Source organism: Homo sapiens, chromosome 2 (assembly GCF_000001405.40).
Source record: "Homo sapiens chromosome 2, GRCh38.p14 Primary Assembly".
Classification (NCBI taxonomy): domain Eukaryota; kingdom Metazoa; phylum Chordata; class Mammalia; order Primates; family Hominidae; genus Homo; species Homo sapiens.
The window spans coordinates 169,544,376-169,572,180 of NC_000002.12; the positions used below are offsets into that span (position 1 = coordinate 169,544,376).

At 38.5% G+C, this 27,805-nt stretch overlaps 1 protein-coding gene across 13 annotated transcripts in view; it reads right to left on the minus strand.

Annotated features, from left to right (window-relative positions):
* FASTKD1 (FAST kinase domains 1) overlaps positions 1-27,805 on the minus strand; it is a 45,358-nt gene that overhangs the window by 15,868 nt on the left and 1,685 nt on the right. For 5 of the 13 annotated variants that reach the window (NR_104020.3, NM_001281476.3, NM_024622.6 and 2 more), the window contains exons 2-9: positions 27,278-27,796; positions 24,809-24,877; positions 18,850-18,975; positions 16,012-16,410; positions 12,812-12,922; positions 10,749-10,880; positions 1,843-2,329; positions 346-460 (exon numbers count right to left, since the gene is read on the minus strand). Coding sequence is in view for 12 of the 13 variants with exons in the window: in NM_001281476.3 (NP_001268405.1) it covers positions 346-460; positions 1,843-2,329; positions 10,749-10,880; positions 12,812-12,922; positions 16,012-16,410; positions 18,850-18,975; positions 24,809-24,877; positions 27,278-27,654 (1,816 nt within the window). In the remaining variant the exon portion in view is untranslated. The other 8 variants (NM_001322049.2, XM_006712750.5, XM_047445832.1 and 5 more) reach the window with 4 other exon arrangements.

Below are 27,805 nucleotides of genomic sequence, written 5' to 3' on the forward strand. Positions count from 1 at the left end.
CCTGGCCAACATGGTGAAACCCTGTCTGTACTAAAAATGCAAAAAATTAGCCGGGTGTGGTGGCACATGCTTATAGTCCAAGCTACTGGGGTGACTGAGGCAGGAGAATCACTTGAACCCAGGAGACAGAGGTTGCAATGAGCCAAGATCGCACCACTACACTCCAGCCTGGGCGACAGAGCAAGACTCTGTCTCAAAAACAAACAAACAAACAAAAAACCTTTTTTTAGGTAGATAATTCATGTCTATTATGGTTACCCTTTAAATGAGGGACATCTCCTAGCTCAGCAGCAACAAGTATCCTCTGACTTATTCACTCAATGTATTACCAAACAATATACCTACCTAAGTAAGAATTAAGATGTTGCACGCAAGTTCCCAAAAATTCATCCCTTTGAGGTGGATCATAGTTCAATACGCTGAATGGACGAATAATAGCAGGGATTGTAAAAGGATGGATCTGTATAAAAAGAACAAAAAATTTATAGTTTAAACTTTAGGAAAATAAGACAAAATTTTAACCTAATTATTTTTTAGGAGAAATCTTTTCCTATCATCGCTACAGTTAAATAATAAATGTATCACCCTGCTTATTAATTTTTCCATCCTGCTATAATTTATTTAACCCCACCAACATTATTAATAACCCCAAAAGTGTTAATGTAACAAAAAAGAAGTAAATCAGATAATTTACAAATTTATTTTGTTAGGTGTAAAATTCTGTTCTGGCTGGGAGTGGTGGCTCATGCCTGTCATCCCAACACTTTGGATGGCTGAGGTGGGAGGATTGCTTGAGGCCAGGAGTTCGAGATTAGTCAGGGCAACATAGTGAGACCCTGTCTTTATTTAAATTTAAAATAAGTAAATAAATTCTGTTTCAGAATTCATTAGTCACTAAATTGAATAGGAAACAGTATCAGCAATTTCCATGATAATCAGTACATTTTATAGAATAATCATAATTAAAGAAGTTTCTTAAATTATAATCACTAGCATTTATTTTTCTTTCATTTGCTTTTTTATTTCATTTTTCACTCATTCATCCAATACTTAATGACTTCCAGGCACTATACTAAGCAAGTTAAGACAAACTTTTTATTTTCATTTGTGAGAAACACTGTCTTTTAAATAAAGGCCTTGCCCTGATATATTTATGATAGTGATTTTGTAAGTGAGCTGCTTCTCACATAATCCATAAAGCGGCATTTTACAAGTCCCAGAAATAAATCTGCAAGAAGATGCAATGACAGTTTAAGAATATAGTTGCCAATGGATACCTTATAATTTTCTCAGTTTTCAAGCTTATCTCACACTTTTGAATATAATTGTTTTTAAATGGTAAAAATAATACCACACGATTACAGAAATAAGAAAAAGTAAAACCAAAAATCATTCATACTCCACTGTCCTAACATGAGTATCCTCAAAGAATTGATTACTAATCTTAATACTGTAATGAACCAAAGAATGATTGCTGATCTTTCCAAATCTACAATGCCGGAATGAGAAAGTGACTTTAAGGAGAGGAACAACAAATCGCTGAAATAGAAACCAGAGTTTTCTTTGTTTTTCTTAAGAGACAGGGTCTCACTCTGTCACACAGGCTGGAGTGCAGTGGTGCAATCATAGCTCACTGAGCCTTAATTCCTGGGCTCAACCAATCCTCCCACCTCAGCCTCCCAACCGCTGGAATTACAGGCTTGAGCTACCACATCTGACCCAGAATTTATTTAATTTTTAAACCTCAAATTCCAATCCAAGTTCTCAAAGTGCCTATGATAAAAATTATGCTTGCAGAAGTTGACAACTCTATAAAATTAATGTCTACCATTTAAATTTCACCTTTTCAATCTGCTGAACAGCCACTGAGGCTATCCTATCTAGTAGCAAAGTACTGAGGTAATCAGTACTAGAAATAAAAGATGCAATCTCCCCAACATTTATGTAATTAATATCATCCATGAAATGCTGTAAAGTAGCAATCATTTCTTCAAGAAGTGACTCAGGAAACGTGTTTCCTTTGAGAGATTTAAGTTCCTTCCGTAACAGATCCAAACTGTTGCTGTGTTGTAGTCTCTGACGACCATAGTGATCTAATTTTTGAAGTAGTTTCAGTTGTTTCGCAGTCATATTATCCAAATACATGTGATCATGCTGAATCCATCTTAAAACAGATGTGGCAAAACTACTCAGGTTATTTAGGTCACACTGTGGTAAAACGGCTTCAATTCGGGATATCCCCACTTCGTCCAAGTGAGGAGAAGGGAGCAGGGAAATAGCACGGACCAGAACAGACACCTCAGTTGGTATGAAACTATTTTTCAAATAACTGCAAAATGAAAAATGAAAAGAATACATCAGCAACAAACCCAAAATATATATGTATTAAAATATGAATACATATGAGTACAATTAATAGGTAAGATGATGATTCAAAAAAACCTCTTTCAAACTATGTTTCTCCTCTAATCTCAAACCACAACAATCATCAACCACAGAAGACTTCTGTGACCAAATGTGTGGGAGTTCTTCCAAGCAGCGGATACCAACTGGGTGTCCAATTCAGTTCTGACACAATCTACCTGGGGACAGTGTCAGATCCCACAGGTTGGGAACTTGGTCTCTAAGACTAACCTCTCCCACAAAAACCCCAGACTCCACTTGCAAAAGTAGGCCTCCAGAACTTCTGAGCAACCGGCTTCAAGTTGGGTTTCCCATGACCTCCTCTTTGGGTTTGATTAATTTGCTGGAGTGATTCACAGAACTCAGGGAAGCAGTTGTTTATGTTTACAGGTTTATTATAAATGATATTATAAAGAATGCAGATGAAGGGACAGTAGGGTGAGGTATGCGGGAAGGGGTGCAGAGCTTCCATGCCCTCCCTGACCATGCCACCCTCCAGGAACCTCCACGTGTTCGGCTATCCGGAAGCAGTCCAAACCCAGTCTTCTTGGGTTTTTATGAGCTTCGTGACATCAACATTTCCTCACACAGGGTGTAGGGTGGGATCTCTCAGGGGAGCGTCTTAAGACCCACGATCAGAAAGGTGGAGGGAGATTAGAGTCCTGCTTTGGGGCAGGAGAGAGATTCTCTTTCCAGAGGCCTAACATACCCAACATTGTTAACAAAAGGCTATAGCAAGAGCTATAGAAGTTATGAACTAGTAACTAGGACAAAAGCCAATATATATAACATCACAGGTGGGCATAATACAAGTTAATTTAAGAAGAGTTAGATAGGCCAGGCACGGTGGCTCATGTCTGTAATCCCAGCACTTTGGGAGGCCAAGGACAGGGGTTCGAGACCAGTCTGGCCAACATGGTGAAACGCTGTCTCTACTAAAAACACAAAAAAATTAGCTTAGCCAGGCATGGTGATGTGCACCTGTAATCCCAGCTACTCAGGAGGTTGAGGCAGGGGAATCTCTTGAACCAGGGAGGTGGAGGTTGCAGTGAGCCAAGATCGTGCCACTGCACTCCAGCCTGGGCGACAGAGGAAGACTCCATCTCAAAAAAAAAAAAAAAAAAAAAAAAAAAAAAAAGAGTTTGATAAATTCAAAGATGACAGGTCCATAAAGGATTATTCAGGAAAGCCTAAGACTTCCTGATGCCCTCCGTCTCAAAAAAAAAAAAACAAAACAAAAACAAAAAGAAAAGAAAAGAAAAAAAAATCTTTAAGTATAGAAATAGTGGAAGGAATAAAGGAATAAAACAGGAAGACCTGTTCTGAAGCACAGGCCAAAATTTTTTATTCAAAAATAAAACCACAGTCCCAGGGAAACAAAAGGTCCATGTCAGAACAATGTTTCCAGTGCTGTCGCTGAAGAAAGAACTTGGGTTCAATTTCTGATATCACCTGTCAGGCCCTGGCATGCAGTGATCACGTAATAAAATTGGTTCCTTTTTTGTTTCCGATACACAGTCCAACATTTAAAACAAATGAATAAACAAACAACAACAAAAGAAACAGGACATAGTTGACCTCATTCTCTACTTCATTCCGAAATCCCCATGGCAAGAGTCCCACCACCAGGACAATAATTGTTAAAAAAAAAAAAAAAAATTGAAAAACTGGGGCCGGGCATGGTGGCTCACACCTTTAATTCCAGCATTTTGAGAGGCCAAGGCGGGGGATAGCTTGAGCTCAGAAGTTCGAGACTAGCCTGGCCAACATAATGAAACCCCATCTCTACTGAAAATACAAAAAATTAGCCGGGCGTGGTGGCACATGCCTGTAATCCTAGCTACTGGGGAGGCTAAGGCATGAGAATCGCTTGAACCCGGGAGGCGGAGGTTGCAGTGAGCCGAGATCACGCCACTGCACTCCAGCCTGGGTGACAGAGCAAGACTCCGCCTCAAAAAAAAAAAAAAAAAAAAAAAAACTTTAGGTATAGAAGTAGTGGAAGGAATAATACAATCTAAATTAAAACAAAATTGAGGCTGGGCGCGGTAGCTCACTCCTGTAATCCCAGCACTTTGGGAGGCCAAGGCGGGCAGATCACGAGGTCAGGAGATCGAGACCATTCTGGCTAACATGGTGAAACACCGTCTCTACTAAAAATACAAAAAAGAGTTAGCCGGGCATGGTGGTGGGTGCCTGTAGTCCCAGCTACTCAGGAGGCTGAGACAGGAGAATGGCGTGAACCCGGGAGGCGGAGCTTGCAGTGAGCCGAGATGGCACCACTGCACTCCAGCCTGGGCGACAGAGCGAGACTCCATCTCAAAAAATTAAATAAATAGCTGGGCGTGGTGGCTCACGCCTGTAATCCCATCCCTTTGGGAGGCCGAGGTGGGCGGATTACCTGAGGTCGGGAGTTCGAGACCAGCCTAACCAACATGGAAAAACCCCGTCTCTACTAAAAATACAAAAAAGTTAGCCAGGTGGGGTGGCGCATGTAATGCGCTGTAATCCCAGCTACTCGGGCGGCTGAGGCAGGAGAATCGGTTGAACCTGGGAGGCGGAGGTTGCGGTGAGCCGAGATTGTGCCACTGCACTCCAGCCTGGGCAACAAGAGCGAAACTCCATCTCAAAAAAAAATTAAAAATAAAAATAAATAAATAAATACATTGAGTTACTTTTAAAATATTTTTTAAATTAATTTTTTTCTGGAGACAGGGTCTCACTCTGTTGCCCAGGCTAGAGGGCAGTGGCGTAATATAGCTCATTGCAGCCTTGACCTCCTGGGCTCAAGTACTCCTCCTGCCTCAGCCTCTCTACACACTGGGGATATAGGTACATGCCACCACGCCCAGCTAATTTTTTGTTTTTTGTTGTGGAGACAGGGTCTTGCTTTATTGCCCAGGCTGGTCTTGAACTCCTGGGCTCAAACAATCCTCCCAGCTCAGTCTCCCAAAGTCCTGGGATTACAAGCATGAGCCACTATGCCTGGCCATTTAAAATATTTAAATTAGCATACTAAAATAATCGTAATATTAATACTCAGTGTTAGCAAGGGTGTACTGATACAGGCATTCTCATTCACTATTAGTAAACTTAAAAAGTTGGTGTAACTTCCTGGAAAGTAATTTAGCAGTACGGCTTTGAAAACTTTAAAAGTATTTTAATTTTATCATTTGACATGGTCAATCCCTGTCTGGGAAACTAACCTAATAAACTAATATAAAATCCAGGTAAAAGATGTGTGTTGTTATTCATCTTTTTTTTTCTTTTAAGAGGGAGTCTTACGATGTTTCCCAGGCTGATCTCCAACTCTTGGGCTCAAGTGATCCTCCTGCCTCGGCTTCCCAAACATAGCTGGGTGTAGCTGGGATACAGGTGCACACCACCATGCCTTATCATATTTTTTACATGGCTAAAATGTGAAAACAATCTAAATAATGAGGGGGAATAGTAATAAGTGAATTATGGTACAGTCATATGATGGGTATCAACCAGCCATTATAAAAGATTTACAAAAAGTTCTTAATGATGTAGTTCTTAATGATGTACAAGGTAAAATGGCCAAAAACAAACAAACAAAATTGTATGGTCAACTAGGAAAAAAAATACATATATGTAGTATACAACAAGGAAATAAACTATATTGTTGACAGTGGATGAATGAGTTTATGAATAATTTTTATTTTCTTCTTTATATTTTTTTCCTTTCTTTTCTTTTTTAGAGATAGGGTCTCACTCTATAGCCCAGGCTGGAGTGCTGTGGCATGATCATAGTTCACTGTAAGCTTGAGGTCCTGGGCTCAAGTGATCCTCCCGCCTCAGCCTCCTGAGTAGCTAGGACTACAGGCATGAACTACTACACCCTGCTAATTCTTTAGTTTTTTGTAGAGACAGAGGCTTGCTATGTTGAACACACCGGTCTTGAATTCCTGGCCTCAAATGATCCTCCTGCCTCAGCCTCTCAAATATACTTTTTTCTGTTTTCCAAAATTTTCAAAATGATTTTTATATATTTGGCCCAGTGCCTGACACAACCAGGCACTTAGTTAGTACTGCATATTTTATTCTTATAACCACAAAAAATTAATACACTATTTTATATTAAGAAATGAAAGCCTTCAAAAAGCTGCATCATTGTGGAGCTACCAATCTTGAGATACTTTTCTACAAATAAACCCCCAACAGATACAATTTCTCCAACCTCCACTTGGTGTTTTTCCTTGTGATACCTCCTCAATTGTCAAAGCTTAGATATTTGCGTATATTTATTTATAATACCACAACATACCCACCAGAACAGCTCAAATTAAAAAGCATGAGCACTGTCCTGGGTTATAGGGGAAAAAAAGTAAAAAAATATCGAGTGTTGGCACGGATATGGAGCAATAGGAATGTGTACATTCTGTTAGTGGGAGTAGGGATTGGTAAAACCACTTTAGAAAATGTTCAGCAGCATCTACTGAAGATGAGGACATGCATACCCTATGAACCAATGATTACACTCGCTGGCACACAGAAATGAATATGTATGTTCACTAAAAAATATACATGAATTTGTTCATAAACAGTACTGCTGATAATAACCAAAAACTGGAAATAAATCGAATATCCATCAACAATAGAATAAATAAATAAATTTTGTTATATTCTTACAAGAGAATACTATAAGACAAAAGCATAAACAAATCTCATAAACTTAGTATTGAGCAAAAGAAGCCTGACACAAAAGAAATCACACTGACCAGGCGCAGTGGCTCATGCCTGTAACCCCAGCACTTCAGGAGGCCAAGGCAGGCAGATTACTTGAGCACAGGAGTTTGGGACCAGCCTGGGCAACATGGCAAAACCCCATCTCTACTAAAAATACAAAAAGTAGCTGGGTGTGGTAGCACGTGCCTGTAGTCCCAGCTACTCAGGAGGCTGAGGCAGGAGGGTCACTTGAGGTCACTTGAGGTTGCAGTGAGCCGAGATCACGCCACTGTACTCCAGCCTGGGAAAACGAATGAGACCCTATCTCAAAAAATAAAGGAAATCATACTAATGATTCCATTTATATAAAGTATAAAGGCAAAACCAATCCATGCAGTTACAAATAGAGATAGTTAATCTTGGAGGTGAGGACAGGGTAATGAGGAAGGCAAATGTATATTTTATGTAGATTATATTTCAATAAGTTAAAAAACAACAACAGACATTATTCCAGTACATGAAAACTCTGGGTTCTTTGAGCTGTTTCAGGACCTAGGACCTATTTACATAAGAATTTATGTAAATTATTAGTTCAAATAGACTACATTCCTTCTAATATCTACTTCAGATTATCTGCACTGAAGTGGAAGAAGGTAATTCTGAAACATGAAGTGCCTATGATTTTTATATAACAACACCAAACTTTCAAATGTTAGTAACTCAAACACTTTTGATATAATTTTAAACTACAGAGATACATAAAGGCTCTCCTTACTCAGAATTTAATAAGCTTTAACATTATCATACGTGCTTCAAGTCTTTTCATAAAAGCAACAAAACATTACAGGAAAATGAAATCTTCTTTGATGCTCCCACTCCTGCTCTTATTTTTCTGTTAACATACCTAGAAGTATTCATCAGTACTGAATAATTTAATTTTTTTAAAAAACACTGCAATGTATGTTTACAGCAGCACAATTGACAACTGCAAAGATGTTAACCAACCTAAATGCCCATTGACTAATAAGTGCATAAAGAAAATGTGGTAAATATACACCATGGATATCATGGTGTATATTTAATACACCTTTAATCAGCCATTAAAAGGAACACAATAATGTCTTTTCAGCAACTTGGGTGGAGCTGAAGGCCATTATACTAAGTGAAGTAACACAGGAGGGGAAAATAAAAAATTGTATACTTTCACTTACAAGTGGGAGCTAAGCTATGAGTACGCAAAGGCATACAGAGTGATATATAATGGACGTTAGAGACTCAGAAAAGGGAGGTTGGTAGGCAAGCTAGGGACAAAAAAACAACACATTAGGTACTAAGTACATTACTCAGGTGACAGGTGCACTTAAAATCTCAGAATTCACCACTATACAATTCATCCATGTAACAAAAAACCACTTGTACCCCAAAAGCTACTGAAATATTTCTTAAAAACATAAAACATAGGCCAGGTGCAGTGGCTCATGCTTGTAATCCCAGCACTTTCGGAGGCCAAAGCAGGCGGATCACTTGAGGTCAGGAGATCAAGATAAGCCTGGCCAACATGGTGAAACCTAGTCTCTACCAAAAATACAAAAATTAGCCAGGCATGGTGCCTCATGCCTGTAATCTCAGCTACTTGGGAGGCTGACAGGAAAATCGCTTGAACCTGGGAGGCGGAGGTTGCAGTGAGCCGAGATCATGCTCTACTGCAGCCTGGGTGACAGGGCGAGACTGCATCTCAAAAAACAACAAATACAAAAATAAAAATAAATAAAAACATAAAAATATAGAAAATTTTTTAAAAGCATGCAAAAAAAAAAAAAAAAAACCCACTGTGCAGACATAAATCATGCCTGGGCTAGTGTATCATTTCTAATTTAGAACATAAAATTCATAATTGAGAGGTAGTCTATGTGAAATTCTGGACTAAATATGGAAAGGGTGAAGAAACAATAAGCATCTTATCATCTTACCATCTTAAGAAGAAAATTATTTTTCAAGAAAAAGATAAACTTTCTTATAACATCCTAATACGCTAAATTCTCATCTGATAACATGTTATTTCATATTACTCAGTTCAAAACCTTTTTAACCATAATGGCATATCACTTTATTATAATAAAAATCATTTTCAACTATATGCTTGGTCTTTCAGAAATCACAGTAAAAAATCAGGCCGGGCGCAGTGGCTCACGCCTGTAATCCCGGCACTTTGGGAGGCTGAGGCGGGCAGACCACGGGGTCAGAAGATCGAGACCATCCTGGCTAACACAGTGAAACCCCATCTCTACTAAAAAAAAAATACAAAAAATTAGCCGGGTGTGGCGGCGGGCACCTGTAGTCCCAGCTGCTCAGGAGGCTGAGGCAGGAGAATGGCGTGAACCCGGGTGGCAGAGCTTGCAGTGAGCTGAGATCGTGCCACTGCACTCCAGCCTGGGCGACAGAGCGAGACTCCATCTCAAAAAAAATAAATAAATAACGGTAAGAAATCAAACTAGATGGGCATGCTGGTTCAAGCCTGTAAAACCAGCTACTCAGGAGGCTGAGGTGGTAGGATTGCTTGAGCCCGTGAGTTTGAAGATGTGGTAAGCTATGATCATGCCACTGCACTCCAGCTTGGGCAACAAAGTGAGACCCCCATCTCTACAAAAAAAAAAAAAATTAGCCAAGTTTGGTAGCACTACTACTTGGGAGGCTGAGGCGGGAGGATCACTTCAGCCCAGGACTTCGAGGCTACAGCAAGTTATGATTGGCTGCCGTGAGCTATGATTGCACCACTGCACTCCAGCCCAGGGGACAGAGTGAGACCCTGTCTCTAAAAAAAAAAAAAAAAAAAAAAAAAAAAAAAAAAAAGATACATCTGTAGAAAATAAGGTGATTTTAAATTATAAAGGGAAAATTCTACATGAAAACACTTTTTCGCTGGGCATGGTGGCTCACATCTGTAATCCCAACACTTTGGGAGGCTCAGGCAGGTGGATCACCTGAGGTCAGGAGTTCGAAACCAGCCTGACCAATACAGTGAAATCCCATCTCTACTAAAATTACAAAAATTAACAGGGTGTGGTGGTATGTGCCTGTATTCCCAGCTACTCGGGAGGCTGAGGCAGGAGAATTGCTTGAACTGGGGAGGCGGAGGTTGCAGTGAGCCAAGATTGCTCCACTGCACTCCAGCCTGGGCAACAAAGTGAGACTCCATCTCAAAAAAAAAAAGAGGAAAAGAAAATAAAACACTTTTTCCCCAACATCACCATTATGTCTTATTCTCAAAAATTTAATAAGCCTTAAAATAGGCATGAATGCAAGACCGAAAGGCCCTAAATATGAATGCTCCCAAATGGAGTTTAACTTTCGTCAGCAGTCCCAATCTTTTCATGGTGACTCCATTTTGCAGGAAAGGAGAATGGCTTTGCTATTCATCAGTTTATTGCCATTCCTCCCCTAGGGAACTCATCACCCTGCTGGCCTCATTTCCGTTTCAAAATATACCCAGCATGGGCACTGGCAGAATGGCCACGGAGGGAGATAGTGTCTTAACATTTTTACTAATAAGCTTCACAATTTTGCCTCCATAACTTCTAGCACCACTGTACATAGTTAAACAAAACAAATATTGTGGCTAGAAAATGAAACACTAAACAAAATTTCTATTTTAATCTTACCTAAGCAGTAATTCTCTAAGTTTCGCAAAAAACTCCTTCCTTTGGAAATGCAGAAAAGTTAATTCTTGAGTTATCTTCAACAACTCTAATGGTTTATAGCCATCCAAATGTTTATGCAGAACTGAAGTAACTCTAAAAAGGATAGAGCATATATTATAACCAGTTCATTCATTTATTACACATTTACTATGGTGCTTTCACACCAGACACTCCGTTCTGTGCTGGAGAAACGGCAATGAATGAGATGAGATTCTCTATTCTTGAAGAAATGTCTCAAGGTGGCTCTAGAAATGTAAACAACTAAAACAGAATGAAGTAAAAGCAATCAATTAAGTGTGAATGAAATAACATTCACTTATCAATAGTACAAGAAGAGAAAAGCATAGTTTTTCTTCCTCAGTTAAACAAATCTCACACAGCATCAACTTCCACATCCTCCCCATAACAAAATCTTTACCAAGAGTTACCAATAATTAGCAAAACTAATTTAATTTTCTTCCGTAAATCCACTGGCCCTCAAATGAAGATGCTTAAAAGCAAAGGGAAATGCTAAGAGGCAGTAAGTTGGAAAAAAATGGGACAAAGAAATATTAAAATAAAGGAACATATAATAGGTCATGAAAAATTAGGCATGTACAATTAAGCATATGTAAAAATGTAAGTATATATTTTTTCTTCTGAAATCTCAAGTTACCAAAAAGCCAACAAATGGCAGTATGACTTCAAGGTAACATTGTGGTGTGAGACAATTCAAGTTCATATAGACATTGACTGTGCTGCAGAAACTTTCCTTTTGAAAATTACAGCCTTGGTGGTAATTTTGGGAGAACTGCTTGAGCCCAGGAGTTCAAGATCAGACTGGGCAAAATAGTAAGACCCTATCTCTACAAAAAATTTTAAAACTAAGAAAGAAAAGTAAGAAAACAAAAAGAAAAGAAAAAAATAAAAGGAGGGTCTTTATGCTCTCTATTTTACAAGGTTATGATGCTCTGCTTGAGTGTAATAGCACAAATAAAATGAAAAAGCTATAAACAATTGTCATTTCTACTTTGAAAAACAAACCAGCACTTTGGGAGGCTGAGGCGGATGGATTCCTTGAGCCCAGGAGTTGGAGACCAGCCTGGGTAACATGGCAAAACACCATGTCTACAAAAAATACAAAAATTAGTGGGCATGGCGACACGTGCCTGTAGTCCCAGGTACTCAGGAGGCTGAGATGAGAGGATCAATTGAGCCTGGGAGGTGGAGGGTGCAGTGAGTTGTGATGGCACCACTGCACTCTAGCCTCAGCAACAGAGCCATACCCTGTCTCAAAAAAAAAAAACAAAAAAAAAAACGGCCAGGCACAGTGGCTCAACACTTTGGGATGCCGAAGTGAACGGATCACTTGAGGTCAGGAGTTCAAGACCAGCCTGGAGGGCTGGGTGCGGTGGCTCAGGCCTGTAATCCCAGCACTCTGGGAGGTTGAGGTGGGTGGATCACTTGAGGTCAGGAGCTCCAGACCAGCCTGGCCAACACAGTGAAACCCCGCTTCTACTAAAAAATACAAAAATTAGCCAGGCGTGGTGGCACACGCCTGTAATCCGGGCTACTCAGGAGGCTGAGACAGGAGAATCGCTTGAACCCGTCTGGGGCAGAGGTTGCAGTGAGCCGAGATGGCACCACTGCACTCAAGCCTGGGCAACAGAGCAAGACTCTGTCTCAAAAACAAACAAACAAACAAACAAACAAAATTAGCTGGGGCATGGTGGTGGGCGCCTGTAGTCCCAGCTACTCAGGAGGCTGAGGCAAGAGAATTGCTTGAACCAGGGAAGCAGAGGTTGCAGTAAGCAGAGATAGTGCCACTGCACTCCAGCCTGGGCAACAGAGTGAGACTCTGTCTCAAAAAAACAAAAAAAAAAAGAAAAGAAAAACAAAGTAGAACATAAACAGTGGCTTAAGCATTAATTCCTTATTTCTTCAAAACAACTGGTAGATTAAAGAAGAAAACCATTTTTCCTTAGAAAAAAATAGGTGCTTGTGAATGACAACAAACTTAACGTCGTAAATTTCAGAAAAGATACCTTTTAATCAGACATGAGTTTCTGCTTTCCATATCTCCCATTGCTCCCAACACTGCCAGGGCTTGCTCGCCAGTTAGGTCCTCTGACATCAATAACATAGTTGATTTAAGTCTAGAAGCAAAAAAAAAAAAGTTTTTGGTTGAAAGACTGAAAATTAGCTTGCAATTTTTTTTAAATAACAGTTCTTGGGTAACAAATAGGAAAAAAAATATAAACAAAAACTGAATCCAATATATAATTCTAGTGTTCTCCCCACATTACTCGAATATAAAATATTACTGAATAAAGAAAAATATATTGTCTTCTTCAATGAAATTCAGGCCTCATTATAATCCAATCTTAAACTGTTTGAAAAATACAGGTAAAAGATATTTTAAGATTTTCAAATAATACAAGGTTATAATGGTTATAAAATACTATGATTCAGTGAAATTATTCAATACTAGAGAGCTAAGAAATGAACAGTTGATATTCTGACAATTTCCCAAATGTTTTAAAACTGAATAGGAACATCTAGGAGTCAATAAACCTGCATATTATCAGAAATCTCATATACTAAGCACTTGATATAACAGTATAAACTGAAAATTAACAAAGCTGGTCCATTTTGACTATGATTAGTTGTCATTTGAACTATCCAAAGTAGTGCAGTAATGTTAAGTACCATGATACGTGTATTTTTTAGAATCATTTAGAAAGCAAGCTCGAAACGTGACATCTGATAGGATAAACTAATTGTCTATTCACATGGATAACTCCATGCCATCCTTTCCACCAACCTTTTCAAAGGTTTCAAACCCAGTTTCTCCACAAACTTTTCCCAACCACTTCAGTCTATATTTTTCTCTCACTTCTGTCTGCTCACAGCACTATCCATATCACTAATTTTATTGTTTCTTCATAAACTATGTTGTTACAGTATTTACATATTTCAATTATATCTATCCTCTCAATTGCAATATAAATTCCTTGAAGACAGACTCAGTTAAACCCAACTGTTTTATTGCTTTAGCACTGAGATTTTAACAGTACTTGGTGACAAAAAACGGTTCCAATAAAGTTTGTTCGTGTGTGTGTTTCTTCGTCTGTTTTGAGATGGAGTCTCACTCTGTTGCCCAGGCTGGAGTGCAGGAGCATGATAGCTCACTGCAACCTCCGCCTCCCAGGTTCAAGCGATTCTCCTGCCTCAGCCTCCAGAGTAGCTGGGATTAGAGATGCCCACCATTGCACCTGCCATCACTCCCGGCTAATTATTTTTTGTATTTTTTTGTTTGTTTTTTGAGACAGAGTTTCGCTCCTGTTGCCCAGGCTGGAGTGCAATGGCGCAATCCTGGCTCACTGCAACCTCAGTCTCCCAGGTTCAAGCGATTCTCCTGCCTCAGCCTCCCAAGTAGCTGAGATTACAGGTGCCCACCACCACGCCCGGCTAATTTTTTATATTTTTACTAGAAACGGGGTTTCACCATGTTGGCCAGGCTGGTCTCGAACTCCTGACCTCAAGTGATCCAACCGCCTCAGCCTCCCAAGGTGCTGGGATAACAGGCATGAGCCACCACACCCGGCCCTTTTTTTTTGTATTTTTAGTAGAGTCGGGGTTTCACCATGTTGGCCAGGCTGGTCTCAAACTCCCGACTTCAAGTGATCTGCCAGCATTGGCCTCCCAAAGTGCTGAGATTACAGGTGTGAACCACCGTGCTGGGCCCCAATAGTTTTTTTTAATAATCACCTTGTTTCCATCTTGATATAGTCTTAAGATGTGCTCTTAAATTTTTTCATATAATTCAAAGTACTTTTTTTTTTTTTTTGAGTCAGAGTTTCGCTCTTGTTGCCCAGGCTGGAGTGTAATGGCGCGATCTTGGCTTACTGCAACCTGCACCTCCCGGGTTCAAGCGATTCTCCTGCCTCAGCCTCCCGAGTAGCTGGGACTACAGGCGCTGCCATCATGCCCGACTTATCTTGTATTTTTAGTAGAGACGGGGTTCCTCCATGTTGGTCTGGGTGGTCTTGAACTCCCGACCTCAGGTGATCCACCTGCCTTGGCCTCCCAAAGTGCTGGGATTACAGGCATGATCCACCGCACCCAGCCACAAAGTACTCTTAAAAAATAAAACTTTCTCCGTAAAGTTTTCCCTAACAGAGTAATGATACAGATTCCCCTATTGTGCAAGTCTTGGAACCCCTGCTTAAGTGAATCTACTAATCATACTTATGTGTTAGGACTATTATATAAAATTCTTATTTTTTTCTTTTATTTTTTCTTTTGAGACAAGGTTTCATTCTGTGCCCAGGCTGGAATTCAATGGCGCAATGTCAGTTCACTGCAGGCTCAACCTCCTTGGGCTCAGGTGATCCTCATGAGTAGCTGGGAATCTAGGTGGGCACCACCACATCTGGCTAATTTTGTATTTTTTTGTACAGACAAGGTTTCATCATCTTGCCTAGGCTGGTCTCAAATTCCTGGGATCCAGGGATCCACCTGCCTCGGCCTCCCAAAGTGATGGGATTAAAGGCGTGCAACGCCGTGCCCAGCTTGTAATTCTAAATATTTCATACAATTATGCTGGGTGGGGGAAGTTTATGTCTAGTATAAATCCAGTCACATGGCCTAGGAAGAGAAACTCTTATCTATTAACCGTATTTGTATGTTAATTTAATATTTGCTCATCATTATATTTCAAATATTACTACCTACATCAGTATCTAGCAAAACTGGAAATTCCTAAATGAGAGGCGCCACACAAAATTTGCTCAAACCTGACATGGGAACATATGCCCAGTGCATAATAAATGCTTTGATGATTATTGTGATGAAGACAGCAAAGCATAAAATGGCCCTCTGCTATGACTACTATAATTCTAAATATTCCACAGACTTACACTGGGTGGGGGAGTCTTATATGTGTAAATCCAGTCATGTAGCACAAAAGGGAGAATAAAAACACATGGCGTTTCCCCTCATTTTTTTTCATGTTGGCCCAGTATCAGAGGTTTACCTTTCAGAACACAGCAACAGACTAAGAGTTTGAGATGTAAATTAGAATAATCAGAAAAAGAATCAAGGAGCAGAGCATAAGAGATTATTTTCCCTTCCACAACCTAATAGGGTGATATTTGTACCTTCCAGAGCTGCAAGGAGACCTAAGCTTGAAGGCTCCACGTATTCACAACAAAAAAAGTAATGCATTTTAAACTGAACTTACTGTTTCTTTTCTTCAGGTCCTGCAATGGGTCCCAATGCTACAAACAATTTTACAAAGCTAGCAGGATGATTACACAGAGGAATCATTTCAGTTAGCTTCTTTTTAGCCATTATAATAAATTCAAAACTATTAAATTGTAGAAATTTGTATACACTAAGTATTTTACTGATGGAATCCAAATCAAGGTGGTCCACATTACTTAAAAATACGTTATTACATCTTTCTAATAGTGGTTGATAACGATATCTAACATTTCGAAGAAACTTTGCTATGCTTTTTGCAACGTTGACCTCAGAAGAATCTATGGTGTCAAAAAGAAGTTCTGTTTTGTTCACCAGTTGTTGTTGAAAATGTCGTGATATTAAAGAAGATATGTTGACCATCAAGACAGACAAGGAACTGAAAAAGAAAAAAGATGCAAAGATTTTTACATCAATTAAGAATGATCAATTCTTTTTTTTTTTTTTTTTTTTTTTTGTAGAAACAGAGTCTTGCTATGTTGCCAGGGCTGGTCTCAAACTCCTGGGCTTAAGCAATCCTCCCACCTCAGCCTCCCAAAGTGCTGGGATTACAGGCATGAGCCACTGCACCCAGCCACATAAGTGTATTTTTTTTAAAAAAAAGGCAAGGGGCTGGGCATGGTGGCTCATGCCTGTAATCCCAGAACTTTGGGAGGCCGAGGTGGGCAGATCACTTGTGGTCAGGAGTTTGAGACCAGCCTGGCAACATGGTGAAACCCCATCTCCACTAAAAATATAAAAATTAGCTGGATGTGGTGGCGAGCACCTGTAATCCCAGCTACTCAGGAGGCTGAGGCAGGAAAATCGCTTGAACCCAGGAGGCAGAGGTTGCATCATTGCACTCCAGTCAGGGAAACAGAGGGAGACTCCATCTCAAAAGAAAAAAAAAAAGGCAGGGAAGTAGGGTGGAGTGGGGCAAGAAGAGCAGGAAACTACTATAATTTAATTTTACCAAAGTGCTAATCACTTTGTAAATATGAGAGAAAAAGCTGTATCTGAAACGCCAAAGACAATCATAGTACTGGATTATGAAGGTTAGCATTGACAGTAAGTAATCTTATGTTAAAAACAAAACAAACCCTCAAACCACTGGTATGAAAACCAGAGAAACTCCTTAAATGTTAGTTTCAAATTAATAGTTCCTTGACATTCAGCAAATGTAACTATTAACTCTCCTTTATGAAACTGAAAAGAAAGTATTCCCAGATGGAAAGAATAAAAAAGACATAATTGTATGTAAAATTTGTGAATTTGTTTATAAATTAATTATAAATTAATCCATTATAAATTATTAATCTATTATAAATTAATTATTAATCTATTATAAATTAATTATTCATTATAAATTATTTATTAATTTATTGTAAATTATTTATTAATTTATTGTAAATTATTTATTAATTTATTGTAAATTATTTATTAATTTATTGTAAATTATTTATTAATTTATTGTAAAATAATTATTTATTAATTTATTGTAAATTATTTATTATAAATTATTTATTTATTGTAAATCAATTATTTGTTAATTTATTATAAATTAATTATTAATTTATTGTAAATTAATTATTCATTAATTTATTGTAAATTAATTATTCATTAATTTATTGTAAATTAATTATTTATTAATTTATTGTAAATTAATTATTTATTAATTTATTGTAAAATAATTATTTATTAATTTATTGTAAAATAATTATTTATTAATTTATTGTAAATTAATTATTTATTAATTTATTGTAAATTAATTATTTATTAATTTATTTTTTGGTTTTTTTGGATTTTGTTGTTGTTGTTTCAAGTTTTGTTACTGTTTTTTTTTCGTTTTTTGTTATTGTTGTTTTGAGACAGAGTCTTGCTCTGTTGCCCAGGCTGGAGTGCAGTGGCACAATCTCAGGTCACTGCAACCTCCACCTCCCAGGTTCAAGTAATTCCTGTGCCTCAGCCTCCCGAGTAGCTGGGATTACAGGCGCCCGCCACCATGCCCAGCTAATTTTGTATTTTTTGTAGAGATGGGATTTTTGCCATGTTGGCCAGGCTGGTCTCGAACTCCTGACATCAAGTGATCCACCCACTTCGGCCTCCCAAAGTGCTGGGATTACAGGTGTGATCCACCATGCCTGGCCAATGAATTCATACTTAATTTAAATACTTCTTGGGTTTACTTCATGATATAATAATAATACCTACTATCCATTACTGAGAAACTTCTATGTTCTAGATACTTATTCAGAGGCCATTTTCAGTGGGTTTCTGACTGCCTTTGTTCAGAACTATCTTTTCAAGGATGTTTGCATAGCAAACAGCCTAGGAGAATAGAGATAATGTCTCCTGTTGGAGCAGAGTAGGCATGCTTTATTATAAAAGATTCAGGTTTCCTAAGCTCAGAGCTCCTCTCCTGGATCACAACCCATTATGGGAACGAGAGCTCAGGGAATCAACACAAGAAAATTCTGGTACTCTGCTACTGCTATTGCTATAAAAAACAAAGTCCTCTCTCTGACCTCGGAGTCTCAGGCCTTCCTACGGCACACGTAGGAAAATGTGGCAGGCAAACTTAGCTTGCAAATAGGTAAAAACTCAGATCCTCCACAGACCTCAACAATATTGTATTACACTTTATGTACCTTATGTCTAATCCCCACAGCAATATTGCAAAGTAGCTATTACTATCCCTCTTTTGCAGATGAGGATAACGAACTTCCAAGAGCTTAAGTAACCTTAAGTCACATAAACTAAGAGTAGCAAATCTGACTGCATCCACATCCAAAGCCCAGGATCTTTCCACCACAACACAAGATTCCCTAAATAAATTTACCTTAAGTCCTGTGTGGTTTCCAAGTTCCTATGAACAATATCAGCTATTTTTCCCATTAATGGACTAAAATACAAATGCTGATCTGCTAGGCAAGAGGAAAATTCTGAGAGCAGTTTAATATCAAACCTATTAAAGGAAATATACAAAGGAGAACATTAGTATTTACTTTCACTTAAAACACATAATATATAGTTATAAAATTAAAAGCAATCAAAATAGTAAATTACATAAAATTTTTTTTCTAAAATGTTATTATTATAAAAGTAACATGGCAACAGTTAAAAAGTCAGATACTGTAGAAAGGTTTTGAAAGGGGGAAAATCACTAAAAATTATTTGAATGATTTACTTAATTTTTTTAGATGACAGAACAATTTTGACTCAAGGTTGCATATTAACAAATATAATGGCTGCTACTACAACAGTGCTATGAATTTTTTTAATAGGAGAAATAATCCAATTTCTTCAACAAGAAAATGGCAAGACAAAAGAGAGGAAAAAGGAACTGTTATAGATTTTATGACTTTGAATTCACTAAAAAACAAGCATAAGAAAATTCACAGCAACACATATGTAATAGCAAAACCCTGCAAAAAACCCGAATGTCCATCAAGAGTACAATGGATAAACTGCACATACTCATACAATAGAATAAAATTATGGAATCATACAACATAATGGATAAATCCTTAAAACATACTGAGCAAACTAAACTATAAGGGTACATACTATAGGATTCCATTTCTATAGAAACAATTTATGGTGTTAGAGGTCAAGATCCTTTTTGGGTGAGAGGACTAGAAGAGAACATGAAAAGAACTAATGATGTTGTTTCCTTATCTTGGTGCTGTTACATAGCAATGATCAGTATATTAAAATTCATCATGCTGTATGCTTATGACTAGTATAATTTTTATACATTATTTTTCTGTAAAGTTTATTTAAAAAGAAACAAAAAAATTTAAGAGACACAGTAATTGTGAACCTTACTCAGAAACTGATTTAAATAAACTGCCTATAAAAAGACCTTTATAAGACAATCAACAAAATTTGAACACAGACAAGGTACTAGGTAATATCGAAAATTTAAATTTATCAATTTTATTATGTTTTTAAGACACAGTGTCTCACTGTGTTGCCCAGGCTGAACTTGAACATCTAGGCTCAAGTGATCCTCCAACCTCAGCATTTTTATTAAAATTAAAAAAAAAATTTTTTTTGTGGGTACATAGTAGGTACATATATTTATGGGGTACATGAGATATTTTGATACAAGCATGCAACGCAAAATAAACACATCATGAAAAATGGAGTATCCATTCCCTCAGGCATTTATCCTTTGAGTTACAAACAATCCAATTACGTTCTAAGTTACTTTAAAATGTATAATTAAGTTATTATTGACTATAGTCACCCTGTTGTGCTGTCAAATAGTAGGTCTTATTCATTTTATTTTTTTTTACCCATTAACCATCCCCACCTCCCCCACAATCGCCCGTTACCCTTCCCAGCCTCTGGTAACCATCGTTCTGCTCTCTACGTCCATTAGTTCAATTGTTTTGATTTTTAGCTCCCACAAATGAGTGAAAGCATGCGACGTTTATCTTTCTGTGCCTGGCTTATTTCACTTAACATAATAATCTCCAGTTCCACCCATGTTGCAAATGACAGGATATCATTTTTTTTACGGCTGAATATTACCCCATTGTGTATATATACCACATTTTTCTTTTTTTTTTTTTTTTTTGAGACGCAGTTTCGCTCTTGTTGCCCCAGGCTGGAGTGCAATGGCGCGATCTCGGTTCACTGCAACCTCCGCCTCCCAGGTTCAAACAATTCTCCTGCCTCAGCCTCCCGAGTAGCTGGGATTACAGGCATGCACCACCATGCCCAGCTAATTTTGTATTTTTAGTAGAGACAGGGTTTCTCCATGTTGAGGCTGGTCTCGAACTCCTGACCTCAGGTAATCAGCCCGCCTCGGCCTCCGAAAGTGCTGGGATTACAGGCGTGAGCCACCACACCAGGCTTTTTTTTTTTTTTTTTTTTTTTTTTTTTTTGAGAGGGAGTCTCGCTCTGTCACCCAGGCTGGAGTGCAGTGGCGCGATCTCGGCTCACTGTAAGCTCCGCCTCCCGAGTTCACGCCATTCTCCTGCTTCAGCCTCAGGAGTAGCTGGGACTATAGGCGCCCGCCACCACGCCCGGCTAACTTTTTGTATTTTTAGTAGAGACGGAGTTTCACCTTGTTAGCCAGGATGGTCTCGATCTCCTGACCTCATGATCCGCCCGCCTTGTCCTCCCAAAGTGCTGGGATTACAGGCGTGAGCCACCGCGCCCAGCCACCACATTTTCTTTATCCATTCATCTGTTGATGGACACTTATGTTGCTTTCAAATCTTAGCTATTGTATACAGTGCTGCAATAAACGTAAGAGTACAGATATCTCTTCAATATATTGATTTCCTGTCTTTTGGGTATATACCCAGGCAGTGGGATTACTGGATCACATGCTAGCTCAATTTTTAGTTTTTGGGGGAACCTCCAAACTGTTCTCCATAGAGCTTATACTAATTTACATTCCCAAAAACAGTGTGCAGGGTTCCCTTTTCTCCACATCCTTGCCAGCATTTGTTATGGCATGTCTTTTGGATATAAGCCATTTTAACTGTGGTGAGATGATGTCTCATTGTAGTTTTGATTTGCATTTTTCTGATGTTGCACCTTTTCATATGCCTGTTTGCCATTTGCACGGGTCTTTTGAGAAATCTCTACTCAAATCTTTTGCCCATTTTTTGATTGGATTATTAGACTTTTTCCTAATTAGAGTTGTTTGAGCTCCTTATATATTCTGGTTATTAATCCCTTGTCAGATGGGTAGTTTGCCAATATTTTCTACCCTTCTGTGTACTCTCGCTTCACTTTGTTGATTGTATCCTTTGCTGTGCCACCTCAGCCTTCTGAGTAGCTGAAACTACAAGCGTGTGCCACCACGCCCAGCTGGTTCTATATTTTTAAAAAGTCCTTAGAGAAACATACTGAGGTATTTAAAGATGAAATGATATTATTTAAAATATACTGAAGTATACTGAGAGTGGGAGGGGATATAGATAAAACAAGACTGGCTATGTGTTGACAATTGTTGAAGCTGGAGGATGGGTACATGGGAATTCGTTGTACTACTCTTTCTCCTTTTGTAAATGTTAAAAATATTCTATAATAGAAAGTTTTTTAAAAAAAATTTGGATTTCTTGGGAGGCCAAGGTAGGAGGATTCCTTGAGCCCAGGAGTTCAAGACCAACCTGGCAACATGGCGAAATCCCATCTCTACTAAAAATATAAAAATTAGCTGGGCGTGGTGGCATCCACCTGTGGTCCCAGAAACTTGGGAGGCTGAGATAGGACGATGGCTTGAGCCTGGAAGTCTGAGGCTGCAGTGAGCCCTGGTTGTACCACTGTACTCCACCCTGGGTAACAGAGCCAAACCCTATCCCAAAAGAAAAAAATATATATGGATTTCAAATACATGTTAATTATCCTTGCCATGATTCATCATATAGTACTAATCCAGAATAATCTACCCCATTTAAATCATTACAAATTATATTTATAAAACAGGCTGGGCACAGTGGCTCACACCTGTAATCCCAGCACTTTGGGAGGCCAAGGTGGGCAGATCACGAGGTCAGGAGTTTGAGACCAGCCTGGCCAATATGGTGAAACCCTGTCTCTACTAAAAATACAAAAATTAGCTAGGTGTGGTGGCAGGTGCCTGTAGTCCCAGCTACTTGGGAGGTTGAGGCAGGACAATCACTTGAACCCAGGAGGCGGAGCTTGCAGTGAGCTGAGATCACACCACTACGCTCCCGCCTGGGCAACAGAGCGAGACTCTGTCTCAAAAAAAAAAAAACATAAGTTTATAGATATTTTAGCAAGATCATTGTACTTCTGAGTTATTTTGAAATAAAGAAAAATTTAAAAGAAATGCTTGATTCACTATAAAATACAATCATACATGTAATTTAATTAATACAGTAATTATAAAACACAAAAGACCACCTATTTTACAAGTGATTTGTTCAAGCTGCATAATACACATAACGTATCCTTGCTTTGAAGAGAAATAAAATGTTGTGACCTATTATCAACAAATCTAACCCCAAAGATCCAGTAAATAGATAATTTGTACTGTTAGCAAAAGGAATAAGATTACTCTGCTTACCCTCAATATACTTATAGGTAGAGAGTATAAAAGAAGACAGATGGGTTTAGCTAATAAGATTAACTTAAAATCACAACTTAGTAGATTAATACAGAATTTCTAAATCTGGAGAACTGTTCTGTCCCTTAATTTAATCCAGCCCATGTAATAAAGGCCTACAGAGTTTACCAATATATAAGTATTTATTATAGTTTAAGCTTTAAGAGGCAATATGTTAAAAATATTTTAAAAATCAGAATGGTCGCTCCTCTCTGTCTACAAATAAATAGCCTGTTGTTTCTCCTTCATCTTAGTCAAGACTTTCCTGTCTGGTTTCCATTTGATTTAGAGGGAGAGTTGCTCTGTAGTTTTTAATATCCTCCTATCTCTTCCTCACCCTGATTTTTTTCTTTCCTCCCTAACATTTGCCTTATTCCACTAACAATAGACTACAATCATCCAGAGTTCCTAGATTAAAAAATTCAAAGTTTTCAGAAATAGATGAAGATTTCCCAAAATGAGTCTGCTATTATCTCAGCCCTTTTATAAATAAAGAGCTTCTGATATATAATTAGAGAATAAATTTCTCTGTACTCACAAGATTTCCCATTTTTCTGAATGATTATCAAGTAAGGCAACATGCTGAAAATAGAGCTGTGTACAATATAGGAAATATATCTGAATTAATACTGTCCACAGCAGTGGACCTGAAACTCACTTTCTTTAAAAAGCTTCTAAGTCACCTATAAGCTCTGGTCATTGCCTCTCCTTAAAAATGGAGTAACAGACAAGTAGCTACAGATGCTCCTAAACAGTGTTAAATGGCCTTCCTCTCTAATAAACTAGGGTCTCTTTTTTTCTCCTTTCCTGGCTCCTGCACTTCTAGGTTTTTATTGATAGCCAATTAATCAAGAATCTTTCCTTTCTGAAGTATTCTTCTAGAAAAGAAGATTCAAAAAGGCTAGTTCATGAATAGCTGTGACTCTATCTTATTTATATTTCAACTAATTACATGTGTGGAAAAGTATACTATTCCCCACTCTTAAAGAGGAAAAATATGAAATACTTTCTTTTCTCTCTTAAAGAATACACAGCCAGGCATGGTGGCTCATGCATATAAACCCAGCACTTTGTGAGGCCAAGGAGGAAGTATTGCTTGAGCCCAAGAGTTCAAAACCAGCCTGGGCAACATGTCAAGACCCTGTCCATTAAAAAAAAAAAAAAAAAAAAAAAAAAAAGAGAGACAGAAAAAGAGAGAAGAAAAAGAAAGAAAGAAAAGAAAAGAAAAAAGAAAAGACATGGCTGGGAGCGGTGGCTCACGCCTATAATCCCAGTACTCTGGGAGGCTGAGGCAGGTGGATCACGAGGTCAGGAGTTCAAGACCAGCCTGGCCAAGATGGTGAAACCCCATCTCTACTAAAAATACAAACAATTAGCCCTGAGTCATGGTGGGTGCCTATAATCCCAGCTACTTAGGAGGCTGAGGCAGAGAATTGCTTGAACCCAGGAGGCAGAGGTTGCAGTGAGCTGAGACCACGCCACTGCACTCCAGCCTGGGCGACAGAGTGAGACTCCATCTCAAAAAAAAAAAAAAAAACAACAACACATTACACAATCAAAAACTTTAAAACTAAACTGAGTTTAAATACATTTTTTTCAGTGAAGCTTGACAGGCATCAGTTCCCTGTTCTTTCCCTTCAAGATTTCACTCTGTTAACCCTGAAAAGAATAACCCTGATCTTCAAGATGAACCCAGGGTACTTGCCTTTCTAGCCTTCTCCATGCTTCTGTAACTAGTGCTTCAACTAGCGGGTCATGGGCCTCACCAGCAAACCTTAATAAAAAAGAAAGAATCCTCCATACATAATCATTTTAAAATCATTAAAAACATATGCAATACGAATGATAATGCAAAAGTGAAACTCAAGTTATTTTCCTCTTATACAGGCAGTCCTTATTTCTGGTCCACTCTTATTTCAATATTCTGATTTTTTGGTACAGCCTAATAAACATCTATACTTTATCCCATGCCCTCTCACCCTTTTATCTGCTTATTTCAATACCCATGCTACTGACCAATGATAATGTTCAACAATATATTTATGTTAAAAGTACATATAATATGTCTTTGTTCTGATTTAAATACTTTTGATCAGGCATGGTGGCTCACACCTGTAATCCCAGCACTTTAGCAGGCTGAGGCGGGCGGATCACTTAAGGTCAGGAGTTCGAGACCAGCCTGGGCAACATGGTGAAACCCCGTCTCTACTAAAAATACAAAAATTAGCTGGGCGTGGTGGCATGTGCCTTTAATCCCAGCTACTCAGGAGGCTACGGCAGGAAAATTGCTTGAACCCTGGAGGTAGAGGTTGCAGAGAGCCGAGACTGCACCACTGCACTCCAGCCTCGGTGACAGAGTGAGACTCCACCTCATAAATAAATAAATAAAATATTTTTATAAGAAAATGTTTGTAAAAAAATTAAAAAGCTAATAGTCACCAATCACCTTATTCACAAAACTTTAAGCATCCCCTTCAAGTACCTCAGAGAAAACAACTTTGTAACCTGAGAAAGGCCACCAAAAAACATGGAATCATCCTTTTTCAGTTTAACATCAATCCCCAATATAAGCCCCAAGCCCCTTTCCTATAAATGCCAATTCTCTTACAAAAACAACTTACACGTCTCTAACTTACGTAATGCTGATATTTACAGCCATTTAAATAACCCCTGAAGGTTGGGTCATCATGTGAGAAAACTGCTCTTTTTCATCAGTGAGACTAATAAACAGATTAGGTGTAACTTTTTTGTTTTTTCCCCCTTGTACAACTGCTGAAGCCTTCATTCAGGGAACCCAGTTCTTTTGAAGGCTGGATTTCCTTGCAAACAACATATTTCTTTTTATTTTTTTTCCTTTTTTCTTTGCTCTCTTCATTTTTTCTTCACAAATCCCAAAACTGGAATGTAATATTTCTTAACATTTATCTCTGAGTTTTTCCACTGACACCAAGGAAGCCCTTCTTTACGTAATACCTATCAACCATCCACATAATTTGTATAACATTGTTATCAAATATAAATGAATCTACAAAATCATTTTATTTCTTTTTCCTTTTAAGGGCTATTATTGAGAAACAACCTATTGTACCAATACCCCCTAGAAAACATATGTGCCGTCCATTTAATTACAATAACGAGATTGCAAACAAGTTATCACAGACAAAATTTACTAATTGCTGATTGTTATTAGGCATTACTTTTTTTTTTTTTTTTTGGAGACAGCGTCTCACTCTGTCGCCCAGAATGGAGTAGAGTAGCATGATCTGTGCTCACTGCAACCTCTACCACGTGAATTCAAGAGATTCTCCTGCCTCAGCCTCCAGAGTAGCTGGGATTCCAGGTGCCTGCCATCACGCCCAGCTAATTTTTGTATTTTTAGTAGAGGCAGGGTTTCACCATGTTGGCCAGGCTGGTCTTGAACTCCTGACCTCAGGTGATCCACCCACCTCAGCCTCCCAAAGTGCTGGGATTACAAGTGTGAGTCACCACACCCGACTGGCATTAATCTTAAATCTAACTGCTTACCTACTATATCCTCATCTGCAGCCAACCACATTTTCACAAAACTCCACAATAATCCAATTTCAAATGCCCACAGTTAACAATAGTATTACAGTTGTTAAAGGAGAATTGCTTGAACCTGGGAGGCGGAGGTTGCAGTGAGCCAAGATTGTGCCACTGTACTCCAGCCTGGTGACAGAGCAAGACTCCGCCTCAAAACAAAACAAAACAAAACAAAAAAATTAGATTATCAGGAAAACTACTGGTGAAAAAAATTATTTTTCATTTTGAAGAGATTTTTAGACCTGGCACAGTGGCTCACGCCTGTAATCCCAGCATTTTGGGAGGCCGAGGCATGCGGATCACAAGGTCAGGAGATCAAGACCATCCTGGCTAACATGGTGAAACCCCGTCTCTACTAAAAATACAAAAAAATTAGCCGGGCGTGGTGGCAGGCGCCTGTAGTCCCATTGACTCGGAAGGCTGAGGCAGGAGAATGGCGTGAACCTGGGAGGCAGAGCTTGCAGTGAGCCGAGATCATGCCACTGCACTCCAGCCTGGGCGACAGAGACTCCTCAAAAATAAATAAATAAAATGAAAATAAAGAGATTTTTAGAAAATTAAAATGTAAACTATATAATCATTCCATAAAATATAAAAGTAAATTACTTACTGTTGTGTGACGTATAACACATTCACCAGGGTATCGTCATTCATTAATTTGAATTTATTTGTAGCTAAATTATGAAGAGTAAGAAATTGAGGATGGTCTCTGACATACTCAGCATTTTTTAACAGGCTGGTCTTCTGCTTTTGAAGCTTCCAAAGCATATCAAATGCACATCCCACTTGCTTTTCTGAAAGTATGGCTTTGTTTCTTTCAATAAAACCAAACATTTGCTCCTCATCTGTACACTTATTCATCTGAATAATTAGTGGTTCACAACTGATGGGTCGAAATTGAAACACTCTCCAGGAGAATGGACAAATAGCTCTTAGACGAAGCATATTTGTAACCAATGACTCTAGGAAAACAGGTGTTTTTTTCATTTATATCACAAGTTTTCTTAGGTAAACAAAACCATCTGCAACTAGTCGTCAGGTGCAATAAGCAGGGATACAAATAACAGTTTTTCCTTCATGTATTTTGCTTCCATTACAATGACTGTAAACGCATTCCAATGTACAGCTTCTATAAAAG